The following is a 13,535-nucleotide window of genomic DNA, read 5'->3' on the forward strand; positions in this document are numbered from 1 at the left end:
AGTTTTCCCAGCACCATTTATTAAATAGGGAATCCTTTCCCCATTACTTGTTTTTGTCAGGTTTGTCAAAGATCAGATGGTTGTAGATGTGTGGTGTTATTTCTGAGGGCTCTGTTCTGTTCCATTGGTCTATATCTCTGTTTTGGTACCAGTGCTATGCTGTTTTGGTTTCAGTAGCCTTGTAGTATAGTTTGAAGTCAGGTAGAGTGATGCCTCCAGCTTTGTTCTTTTGGCTTAGGATTGACTTGGCAATGCTGGCTCTTTTTTGGTTCCATATGAACTTTAAAGTAGTTTTTTTCCAATTCTGTGAAGGAAGTCATTGGTAGCTTGATGGGGATGGCATTGAATCTATAAATTACTTTGGGCAGTATGGCCATTTTCATGATATTGATTCTTCCTATCTATGAGCATGGAATATTCTTCCATTTGTTTGTGTCCTCTTTTATTTTGTTGAGCAGTGGTTTGTAGTTCTCCTTGAAGAGGTCCTTCACGTCCCTTGTACGTAGGATTCCTAGGTATTTTATTCTTTTTGTAGCAATTGTGAATGGGAGTTCACTCATGATTTGGCTCTCTGTTTGTCTGTTATTGGTGTATAGGAATGCTTGTGATTTTTGCACATTGATTTTGTATTCTGAGACTTTGCTGAAGTTGCTTATCAGCTTAAGGAGATTTTGGGCTGAGATGGGGTTTTCTAAATATACAATCATGTCATCTGCAAAGACACACAATTTGACTTCCTCATTTCCCAATTGAATATCCTTTATTTCTTTCTCTTGCCTGATTTCCCTGGCCAGAACTTCCAACACTATGTTGAATACGAGTGGTGAAAGAGGGCATCCTTGTCTTGTGCCAGTTTTCAAAAGGAATGCTTCCAGTTTTTGCACTTTCAGAATGATATTGGCTGTGGGTTTGTCATAAATAGCTCTTATTATTTTGAGATATGTTCCATCAATACCTAGTTTATTGAGAGTTTTTAGCATGAAGGGCTGTTGAATTTTCTTGAAGGCCTTTTCTGCATCTATTGAGGTAATCATGCGATTTTTTGTCGTTGGTTCTGATTACGTGATGGATTACATTTATTGATTTGCATATGTTGAACCAGCTTTTCATCCCAGGGGTGAAGCCAACTTGATCGTGGTGGATAAGCTTTTTGATGTGCTGCTGGATTTGGTTTGCCAGTATTTTATTGAGGATTTTTGCATCAATGTTCATCAGGGATATTGGTCTAAAATTCTCTTTTTTTGTTGTGTCTTTGCCAGGCTTTGGTATCAATATGATGTTGGCCTCATAAAATGAGTTAGGGAGGATTCCATCTTTTTCTATTGATTGGACTAGTTTCAGAAGGAATGGTACCAGTTCCTCTTTGTACCTCTGGTAGAATTCGGCTGTGAATCCATCTGGACCTTGACTTTTTTTGGTTTCCAAAGTGGGCAAAGGGCATGAAGAGTACTGACATATTTATTGAGCTGAAAAATCAAGCTGTATTTTTTGAGACAGAAAATAAGTAAGTGTGATTTAGCCAATTGTTTTGGAAATGAAAATTATTATGCCAGTTAGGCTAAATTACAGATATCTATCTATCTATCTATCTATCTATAGATATAGATATATTTTTGAGATAGGGTATCACTCTGTCACCCAGGCTGGAGTGCAGTGGTGCTATCTCAGCTTACTGCAACCTCACCTCCCAGGCTCAAGTGATATTCCCACCTCAACCTCCTGAGTAGCTGGGACTACAGGCGCATACCACCACACCTGGCTCATTTTTGTATTTTTTGTAGAGACAGGGTTTTGCTGTGTTGCCCAGGCTGAACTTGAACTCCTGAGCTCAAGCGATCTGCCCACCTCAGCCTCCCAAAGTGCTGGGATTACAGCACTTGGCCAATATTTTCTATAAATTGCTAAATCTGCAGCTCTGTAGTTTTGGTAAAATTATATTCAAAGCATGTGATAATACAAAAGCATTTAAAAAATGTTTTATTGGTAAAGGTATATTAAAATTATTAAAATATCTATTTTCTATATCATGAATTTTACTTAATATGTTGGGTTAAACAAGGTACCTCTAAGTAAAAGAGTAATTTGTATATTTAATAAGTATTTGATAAGTCTTAGTAAAGCCTTTTTGGTTTTATCTAAAAACTTAAAGCTTAAAACCACAAACATTTATTATCCCAGTTTCTGTGGGTCAGGAATCTGGGTGTGGCAAAGTTATGTGCCTCTGGCTCAAGATCTCTTACAAGGGTATGGACAAGGTGTTGGCTAGAGCTAACGTCTCATCTGAAGACTCAACCAAGGAAGGATTTTCTTCCAAATTCACTTACATGGTTGTTGGCAGGTTTAGTTCTTCATGGGCTATGCGGCTGAAGGTCTTAGAGCCTTGTTAGCTATTGGACAGAGGCCTCCCTCAGTTCCTTGCCATGTGGGCCTCTCTGCAGGGCAACTCACAGCATGGTAGCAGGCTTTTCTCAGAGTAAGAGAGAGAGAAAAGCCATGGTCTTTTTGTAACGTAATCTTGGAAATGACATCACTTTTGCCATATTCTTTTTCTTCTCCTGGCATTTTAAATGTAAACTTGACAAAAATTGTATATTTTTCATGGTGTACAACATGATGTTTTGATTTATATATAATTGTAAAATGATTAAATCAAGCTAATTAACATATCCATCACCTCAAACAGTTACCATTTTTTTTTCGTTTGTTTATCTGGGACAATCTTTACTTATCCTTTATGTTTAAAGGATATTTTTTCACTGGGTATACTATTCTAGGATAAAAGTTTTTTCCTTCAGCATTTTAAATAATTCATGCTACTCTCTCCTGGCCTGTAAAGTTTCCACTGACAAGTCTGCTGCCAGGTGTATTAGAACTTCATTACATGTTATTTGCTTCTTTTTTCTTGCTGCTTTCAGGATCCTTTCTTTACCCTTGACCTTTGGGAAGAATTTGATTATTAAATGTCTTGAGGTAGTCTTTTGGTTAAATCTGCTTGGTGTTCTATTACCTTCTTGTACTTGAATATTAATATATTTCTATAGGTTTGGGAAGTTATCTGTTATTATTTCTTTGACTAAACTTTCAACCCCCATCTCTTTCTCTACATCCCCTTTAAGGCCAAAACTTTTAGCTTTGCCCTTTTGAGGCTATTTTCTAGATCTTGTAGGGATGCTTCATTCTTTTTTCTTTTGTTTCCTCTGCCTGTGTATTTTCAAATAGCCTGTCTTCAAGCTTACTAATTCTTTCTTCTATTTGATCAACTCTGCTATTGAGAGACTCATGCATTCTTCAGTATGCCAATTGCACTTTTCCACTACAGAATTTCTTCCCGATTCTTTTAAATTATTTCTATCTTTTTAAAAAAATGTATCTGATAGGATTCTGAATTCCTTTTCTGTGTTATCTTGAATTTTGTTGAGTTCCCTCAAAACAGCTATTTTGAATTCTCTGTCTGAAGGGCCACATATCTCTGTATCCCTGGGATTGGTCCCTGGTGCCTTATTTAGTTCATTTGGTGAAGTCTTGTTTTCGTGGATGCTCTTGATGCTGGTCCATATTTATCTGTGTCTGGGCATTGAAGAGTTAGATATTTATTGTAGTCTTCACAGTCTGGGGTTGTTTGTGCATGTCTTCTTGGGAAGGCTTTCCAGATATTTGAAGGGATTTAGGTGTTGTGATCTAAGGTTTTTGTCACTGCAGCTGTATCTGCATTAGGGGACACCCCAAGCCCAGTAATACTGTGGCTCTTGCAGACTTGTAGAGGTACTGCCTTCATGGTCTTTGATAAGATCTGGAAGAATTCTCTGGATTATAAGACAGAGGCTCTTGTTGTCTTCCGTTATTTTCTCCCAAACAAATGGAGTCTCTCTCTCTCTCTCTCTGTGTGTGTGTGTGTGTGTGTGTGTGTGTGTGTGTGCACGCGCTGAGCTGCATGGAGTTGGGGGGAGGTAACACAAGCACCACTGTGGCCACCACCACTAGGACTTCCCTGGGTCAGACCTGAAACCAGCACAGCACTGGCTCTCACCCAAGGCCTGCGGTGACCACTGCCTGGCTACCATCTATGTTTGCTCAAGGCCCTAGGGCTCTACAATCGGCAGGTGGCAAAGCCAGCCAAGCTTGTGTCTTTCCCTTCTGGGTGGTAAGTTCCCCCAGTCCCCAGGTGGGTCCAGAGATACCATACAGGAGCCAGGGCCTACAGTCAGAAACCTTAGGAATCTACCTGGTGCTCTATTTTACTGGGGCTGAGCTGGCACCCAAGCCACAAGACAAAACCCTTCCCAATCTTTCCTCCCCACTCTTTCCTCCCCTTTTCATAAGCTGAGGAGTCTTTCCCCATGGCCACCACCACACCAGGCACATAGCAAGTATTGCCTGCCTACTGCTGATGTTCACTCAAGGGCCAATGACCCTTCAGTCAGCTTGCAATGAATGCTGCCAGTCCTGGGACTATCCCTTCAGGGCAGTGGTACCCCCTTTGGTGCAGGGAAGGTCCAGAAATGCTGTCCAAGAGCCAAGGCCTGGGATCAAGGACCAAAAGAGACTGCTTGGTGCTCTACTCCACTGTGGCTGAGCTGACACCTAAGCTGCAAGACAAAGTCCCCTTTACTCTTCCCTCTCCTTTTCTCAAGCAGAAGGGGTCTCTCCCTGTAGCCACCATAGCTGAGAATAATGCTGGGCCACACCTGAAGCCAATATATTTCTCAGTCTCACCCAAGGCTCACAGTGAGTACTACAGGACTAACACTCCTGATTATTCAGGGTCCAAGGGCTCTTTAGTCAGTGTGTGATGAATCCTTCCAGAACTGAGTCCTTCCCTTCAAAGCAGCAGGTTCTCTTCTGGCCCAGGATGTGTCTAGAATTGTCATTCAAGAGCCAGGGCCTGGAATGGGGGCCTCAGGACTCTGCCCAGTGCCCTATCCTACTGTGGCTGAGCCGGTATCCAAGTTGCAAGAGAAAGTCTTCTTGTTTCTTCCCTCTCTGCTCCTCAAGCAGAAGGAAGGGGTCTTACCTGGAGCTATGAGTTGCACTGCCTGGATTGTGAGAGGGGTGGTACAAGCACTCCCTTGGCCGCCCCTGCTGGTGTCTCACTAGGTCACATGTACCCCAAGTCTGCTTGCATCATGTGCAGCACAGCACCAGGACTTGCCAAGGAATTGCAGTCCTTGTGGCCCAGATTACCTTTCAAGTGCATTTAGAACCCCAGAGCACTTTGGCCTGAGGTGGTGAGGCTTACTGGAACTCAGGTTCTGATGGTTGGGATGAACAGTTCCCCTCTGGCTAGGGCTGGTCTAAATGCTCACTCCAGGGGTTAGCCCAGCTCACTGGGCTGGGTTCTGCCCAGTGTTGCTTCTGCTGTGACAGGGCAGCACTGAATTCAATGCAATGTCTCAGCCACTATGCTCTCCCTCTTCCAAGTGTACAGATTCTGTCTCCATGCCATGCAGCCACTGCCAGAGGTGCAGGAAGGATGGTGTCGGGAATGCGTGACTGTCTTTTCTACCCTCTTCAGTGTCTCTTTCAGCAATACGAGGTTAAAAACAGGTACTATGATCCCTCACCTGATTTTTTGTTATTTGTTTTTTATGAAGGTGCTTTACGGTGTGTGTAGTTGTTTAATTTGGTGTTCCTGCACAGAGGACGGTTGTTGGAGGCTTCTATTCAGTCATCTTGCTCTGCCTCCTCAGTTACCATTTTGTTTATGTGTGTGTGGTGAGAACATTTAAGATCTACTCTCTCAGCAACTTCAAGTATACAATACATTATTATTATTAACTATGGTCACCATGCCGTAGTCTTCATTTTGTTTTTTTTTTTGTTGTTGTTGTTGTTTTTGTTTTGTTTTGTTTTGTTTTTGAGATGGAGTCTTGCCCTGTCGCCCAGGCTGGAGAGCACTGGCGTGATTTTGGCTCACTGCAACCTCTGCCTCCTGGGTTCAAGCAATTCTCCTGCCTCAGCATCCCGAGTAGCTGGGATTACAGGCACCCGCCACCATGCCAGGCTAATTTTTGTATTTTTAGTAGAGATGGGGAGTCACCATATTGGCCAAGCTGGACTCGAACTCCTGACCTCGTGATCCGCCCGCCTCGACCTCCCAAAGTGTGGGGATTACAGGCATGAGCCACCGTGCCTGCCTCTTTTGCCATATTCTATTTGTTAAAAGTGAGTTCTTGGGTCTAGCCCACACTCATGGGGAGAGGACTGCATAAGGACTCAAATGCCAGAAAGTGGAAATCACAGGGGTCCATCTCAGAAGCTGCCTACCAGAGTAGTACTTCCCAGAAATTGAGAAACTGAATGACTCTAATCTTAGGTAACAAATTGTCTTCTGTCTCAGGTGGTTTCTAATTTATTGACTTCAATAACATTTAAGGAGAACTTAATCAAGTATTCAGATAATAAATTGTTAAAAATATTATTTTATGAAAAATAATTATATGACTTTCTGGCACACAACTCTGAGTTAAAAAATTGAGTGACAGTAGCATAATTAAACTCTATCAATTCACATATAATTATTGATATGAAAAAGATTTCATAACATTTACTTTTATAAAAATGGAAACAAAATATAATTGATGCTGAATCTTGTTCCTGAATGTTATTCAGTATTCATCTGTGAATATAATACCTAGTTGGGAGAAAAGCTCCAATCACATTTTTAAGAAGAAAGGCATTTTTAATAAAAGTGTAATTTTATCTCTAATAATTGTTTATCAAAATTTATATTTATATTTGTGTTCTTTCAAGTAGTTTGGTACTACTAATAATTAAAGGACAACTAAATTCAGAAGAATGGTTTTAACATTATTACCTTATGGCAATAGGGAATAAAAAAATTAAATTTCAATTTATGCTTTCTTATGAAGAAATATGACAAAGCAATAAAAAATAAAATACTTAAATGCAAAAATTATATAACATTACAATAAAATTTTGTGGGGATGTGGAACGGAAATGAGAATTCAAGGAGACAAAGGAATGATGTAAACTTTCTTCCCCTGAAGAAGATTTAAGCCATTTATTTTCTTAACATATGGGTATGAGTAAGAAGTTGCTATAGTATTCAGATTCCATTGGATGCATTTAAATGAGTAATTACATAGTTTTATTTTAAATGTCAATGTCTACCGTATTCCAGAAATTACATCCTTTGCAACTGTTGAAACTTATGATGAAATATTTGGACATCAATCCAAAAATATGTAAGGAGATATATAGATTTTGTTTTTCCAAATTCATTAGAGGGTATGCCAGCAAAATGTTAGAATGCTCTTGATGAGACCCTGAACTAAAACAATTTCAATATATAAATTTTATGTACGTGCACACGCTTGCGCGTGCACACACACACACAAACACACACAGAGTTATGGCTATAATAAACTCTCACTGTCCTGAAATTTGCCATGGGATACAGTGTTTCTGTAGGCAAATTAGGATGCAGAGGAGGATAGGAGGTAAGAGCAGTATGAAATATTGAGAAGCAGCATGCCACTGTCAAAAGGGCAGAGGTTTTGGGGGGGAGTCAAACAACACAGAACGGTTTGGAATACTCCTGTTCTACTTACTAGCTATGTGATCTCAGACCAGTAAATTCAAGTCTTTGAGTCACAGTTTTCTCAACAGTAAAAATGGGGGGAAATACCTACCAAGCAGAATGGTTGTAGAAGTCAATATAAAATTCCTAGGCTACTCCCTGGTATGTAGTAAGAGCTATATAATTGTTGATTCCTTCCCCTGTACTTCTGAACATATAATACCAGGAACAAACCTTGAGTTCTCATTTTACCCTTTGATGGCCCAGAACAGCAATCTCTCATCCTTGGAAATACACTTATGTTTTGCTACCACAGCTCTTGAAATGAAGTAGATATTCAATCAGTATTTCTTAAAATGAACTGAGTCACATTTTCAAGCACAGATTTCCATCTGTGGACATGTTCAAAAAGGGAGAATGATGATTCAACTCCTGTGGGTATTCAGCCATTTTTTTAATAAACTTGGCTAGATGTCTTGGTATCTGGAAATGCCGGTGGTTTTTTTTTTTTAATCCCTACGTGAGTTTAGCTTTTTGTTTGTAGGTATTTTAAACAATAAGCAGTTATGTCCTTTAAAAATTTTCTAAAGGTTTTGAGGGAAGAATACTTGATTTTTGACAGAGAATGGAAAGATACAGTAGGCCAAGTTATAAACCATAGGCAACTTTTTGTGTGTGTGCATAGAATGCTTTCTGGTGCCCCTCATTGCACCCACTCCACTGATATGAGGATATGATTTTAGCTAAGCATTTTGAAAAGAGCTTGAGGACCCCAATTGCTCCCATTCCTCTGGTGCTCACGTGACCTCACGTTGGGAATTATTATGCAATAATTTAGCAGAGAAATTATTATAAATACTCTTCTAAACAGTCTTTTTCCATTCATTTATCATGTATCAATTCATTATCTAACTATCCATTTATTTTTTTGATTCCTGTGTTGAGCAACTCCCACATTGCAAGTGTTCTGTATAGTTCTGGGTATAAAGAGATGATTGTCCAGTGGCGGTGATGGGAATGCCACACAGAATACAATTGGAGTACAGCGGTATTACCTGAATCCTAAAGATCAGCAACTATAGCCCACCTGGAAGGATTGGATAAACACAGTAAGCTGCTAATTGTTGAGTAAGGTAAGCATTCATACATTAATTCATTCAAAAATATGTGTTGATTGTCTGCCAGATGCTAGGTGGTGGGATTATAGCAGTGAATAATATGGATGACAAAATCACTTGGTATATAGAAATCTGTTTTATTTATAACCCTTGATTTAAACTGAATTATAACATTATGGATGTGCTTTTGTAATCATACTTATCTAAAACTTTCCAAGAGATATCATCCCCAATAAATTTTCATTTATTTTCGTGGGACTAGCCTTTCACCTTATCTGATAGACAAATTGGACATTGGCTGTTCCCTTGTTTACTTTCAGTGTTTGGTAGTGATGCCCTTTTCTACTATCTGTCCTACCCTCTCTACCCAACTATGACTTTGGAACATTTTCCCAGATCAGCTCCTGGCTGGGTGGTTTTGTGTAAGAGACAAACTACACCACCATAGACAGTGGTCCTGCCTTTTCTCCACTTTCCACAGTGTTTAGGACTTTTGTGCGGCTATAATGTGCACCTAACGACACATAGCCTTACAGATGTGTTCTAATTCATGTGTGTGCCCTGCATTGCCTTTCAGATTGTCAGCTCCTGTAGAGCAGGCCAAGGCTTCTATTTGTTTTAGCTCCTTTCACAGTGTGAGTATATATACTCTGATTGTAGAGCACACCCTCAAATGTTGTTGATTTGTCCAGATTCTGAGCACATGGCCATAGCTAGAGGTTAAATGAACATGCCTGTTCAATTTTACATTTCTCAACAAATCCAAGCTCACAGTTATTTTCCTTGCAATCAAACTGCAAGGCCAATTTCTTACCAGTTTTTGACAAAGTCTTACATATTCTTTCAGATTTCCTGCAAGCAACTATCTTGTTTAGCAAATTGGAAAACTTTATAACCTAATACAAAGGGAGAGTGGCAGGCACAAACACAGCAAAAGCAGAGCTAATGATAACTCTTAAGGAGAAAGGCTGCTCCTAGGAATCTTAGGCCCCATGGGCAGGCCGGTTGGAGAGATATTTTGGGCAGGGGGACATATTGGGAGGCTTCACTTTAACTGGTAGTTACCTACTTCACTTGAGTATAAGACCAGCTCTACTTCACTTTGATGGGAAAGCAACACAAATTGCTGTGACATATACATGCCAAAGAGAAGCGAGAGGGTTCATTTTCCCTGACAAGGGAAGTCTACCTCACTTGGATTGCTTTCTTCTCTTGGTAGAATTCAGGGCATGCTTCTCAAATGTTGGTGTGTATCAAAATCATATGGGGCATTTGCTAAAAATGCAGATTTCTGGACCTCACTAGAAATTATACATTGTATTGTAGTTTTGCTTTGGGGCTAAAAATGTAATTTTAAAAATATGTTAGCATTTTGAAGAGATTATAATTTTTAACTTTATTTTTTCAACTTGTTTAAAAAATATACAGGAGTCTTCAAAATATGGAGGTAGTCAAAGCCTCCCTCAACCTTGTGGAGACCCTGAAGCCAGAAACATTCCTCAGCAAGTATTCCCATATCCCTCAATGCCCTCCCCTCTAACTTATTGCATCCATGCAGTGTGGTCTATGGGGAGCCAATTCCCTCCCACAAAACAGTCCACAATCCTCATTTACTCTCTAAGGTTTCTAGGTGGTTAGAATTTACTGTTCTAATCATTCTGGGGCCTGCTGGGAATCACTTTGAGATTGGTTTAGCTAGTCTAGAGCCCTCACAGCAACTTCAATTTAAGTGTACAAACTCAGCTGCAAAGTGTCAGGGCCAAAAAGAGAGCTGTCCCTCCAGTTATTATTCACTGCCCATCCACTGCCCCCAAGACTCCCTTGCACCCTAGTACCGATGCTTCCCAATAGCCCCTTTAACCTTTCCCAAACTCCAAGAGCCCCCTTGGTGAGTGTTGCAAACAGGTCCTTTTCCCTACTGAGCATGTGCAGTAGTCTAGTGGGCAGCCATTCTGTTTGTCTCCCATCCCCATCCTCAGGCATGAAAGGGCTGCTAATCCCCCTCCCAAATTATGGTTTCTAGGTGGTTGGGGTCACTGCTCTGACCATTTGAGGACTTGGCGTGTGTTACTTTTTTTTACTAGTACTCAGCTTCCAGCCTTTTTAACCACCTCAGCTCCAGTGTGCAAACTCAGGTGCTACACTTCAGGGCAAACCTCAGAACTCAAGCTCCAGCTCCATTCCAGCTCTCCCATCCTCATGTTCCCAATTCCCCTCACACTCCACTACTGACATCAAGCCAATATTCTGTCTCATTGCTTCAAGAGAGATCCCAGCTATTTGCAGGTGAGAAACAGAAAGCAGAGAAGACATTACGAAATAGGTTATATTTGAGCTGGGCCTTGAGACATTAGCAGGATATCTCTGGGCAGAGATGGAGGGAAGAAACTCCTCAGAAAGAGGCTACCATATGAAAACTCAAGAAGAATATAGAGGTTGAGCATGCCTTTGAAACCGGGTGAATGTATTAGAATTTGTTTACATCAGTGGTTCTCAAACCTCAGTGGATATCAGACTGACCTAGGGTGCTTGTCAAAATGCAGATTCCTGGGTCCCACTGCAGATACACAAAAAAATTATGCTCTGGGGGTGGGAGGCCCAAGAATCTTCATTGTTTAACAAGCTTCTTTCGATGATTTTGATGCAGGTGGTCGCTGACCATTTTCAGAAACATGAATTCAGAGTTTCTACCTGCTAATCTAGATATACTCAGGCCCAGCACGGTCGCCCATACCTGTAATCACAGCACTTTGGGAAGCCGAGGTAGGTGGATCACTTGAGTCAGAGTTTCACCTGACCAACATGGTGAAACCCCGTCTCTACTAAAAATACAAAAATTAGCCAGGCATGGTGGCACGCGCCTGTAATCGCAGCTACTCGGGAGGTTGAGGCAGGCGAATTGCTTTAACTCAGGAGGCAGAGGTTGCAGTGAGCCAAGATCGCACCACTGCACTCCAGCCTGGGAGACAGAGAGAGACAGAGTGAGAATCACACACACATATATATATATATATATTCAGCAGGCCAAAGCAGCTAACCAGCAACTCTTCCTCCTTTCCATCTGTCCCTCTTTTCGCCTGTCCATGTCACCTTCCGTCTCTCTGTTGACAAGACACAGGACGGTGGAGAGTAGGTATAATTTGTGCATCCCTGGTGATAATGTTATTAGGCCATGTAGCAAAATGAACCAAGTTAGTTTATCAGGCTACTATGGAAAGAAGATAGGAGAAGGAGGAACAAAGACAGAATAAACAACCAGTAGTCTTCCCAGCCTTTCCTAATGTGTGCACAATACAACCCAAATATATGGCCTTCTAACTAATGAATGAGAGAGGGAGGGAGCAGAGATAGAAATGATATTCAGTGGTTATTTAGGCTTGGCACTCTCTGGTCTTTCTAATGGAAAACCAGCAGGCTGCCTTGCATGGGTAACAATAAAAGTGGCAGAACAAAAGACAATTGCAATTGATCCAGTGTATTGGGTCCCTGAGACTGCACAGGAATCTCCTTTTCATCTTCTAAAATGGTCCTGCAAGGTCTTCACAGTCATCACTGGATTTTATTTAGAGAGACTGTCACCAACCACGAGCATTTAGTATATAGAACACATGTGTACTCATAAAAGCAACACAGGCCATAAACAATGGGCCTTAATTATCTTTCCCTCTCTGATTCCAAGGGATGTGGCAGGAAAAGTTGCAAGCAAATTGGTGAGAGCACAGGATCCCCAGGGTTCCTTCATCTGTGATCTAACCTCTGACCCACTCTGTTGCCTTCAACAAAGTCATTTACTTTCTGAGAGTCAGAATGAAATTTGGGCAGTTTTAAAATTCACGATTTCTCATGAAATCAACCAATAGAGTTGCAGGGCTTCTTCAGTTCCCCATACCTTCTCTGTAGTCATCTTGTCAGTTTCAATTTTTCTCCTGTTCCTGTCCTCCCTTTCCTACCACAAAGTGGGGTAATGGTGAAGGGAGAAGGGAAAAAAAAAGTTCAAGGTAGTTGGAAGCTGGAACTGTCAAAATGTAGCTCTTTCCTGGTAGATGCCACCCCTCTCCATTGTTATGGAAGGAAGGTGGGGCCTTAATGGAGTAGGATGGAGGGAGAAGATGGGAGCAGGGTGCCTTATGTACGGTCAGAAAGAACAGCAACATAGAGGCCTCTGGGTAATATAAAATATGTATATTATAGTTGAGACTTGGAAATAAACATGTTACTTCCTTAAAGTCTCCAGTTTATTACTGCAGAAACAATTCTTGTGATATCTCAGGTGGTACTCAAAGGAAATAATGGCCTCGCAGGGCCCTCTGAGCTCACATAGTGGAAGAATCCTCCTTACATCCTTAGAAGTGGTGCTTGCCACCATGGGATGGGACTCTTTTTGGACTTTCTGGGGCTACTGTCTTCTCTACATAAGGGCTTTCTGGCCAATCTCAAACAGATGGACCAGAAAATTAAATGCCAAGTGTTTCACCTGTCAGCCTATCAGTGGGAAAGGGACACTAGACAGCCAGTACCTCATATTTGTCTTTCCTAGCTTCCTGGCTTTATGTTTTTCCTAGCACATTCACATACTTTCTCTTATCTGATTTTTTTTTTTTTTTTTTTTTGAGATGGAGTCTAGCTCTATCACCCAGGCTGGAGTGCAGTGGTGCCGTCTTGGCTCACTGCAACCTCCGCCTCCAAGGTTCAAGCAATTCTCCTGCTTCGGCCTCCCAGTAGCTGGGATTCCAGGCGCCCATCACCACACCCAGATAATTTTTGTATTTTTAGTAGAGACGGGGTTTCACTGTGTTGGCCAGGCTGGTCTCGAACTCCTGACCTCGTGATCTGCCCGCCTCGGCCTCCCAAAGTGCTGGTATTACAAGCATGAGCCA

The 13,535-nt window shown here is 41.2% G+C and overlaps 1 protein-coding gene across 3 annotated transcripts in view; it reads right to left on the reverse strand.

Moving 5' to 3' along the window:
• Positions 1-13,535, reverse strand: part of TRPC5 (transient receptor potential cation channel subfamily C member 5) — a 314,766-nt gene that overhangs the window by 36,066 nt on the left and 265,165 nt on the right. The gene's annotated exons all lie outside the window — the stretch shown is intronic.

This window comes from Homo sapiens, chromosome X, assembly GCF_000001405.40.
Source record: "Homo sapiens chromosome X, GRCh38.p14 Primary Assembly".
NCBI lineage: Eukaryota > Metazoa > Chordata > Mammalia > Primates > Hominidae > Homo > Homo sapiens.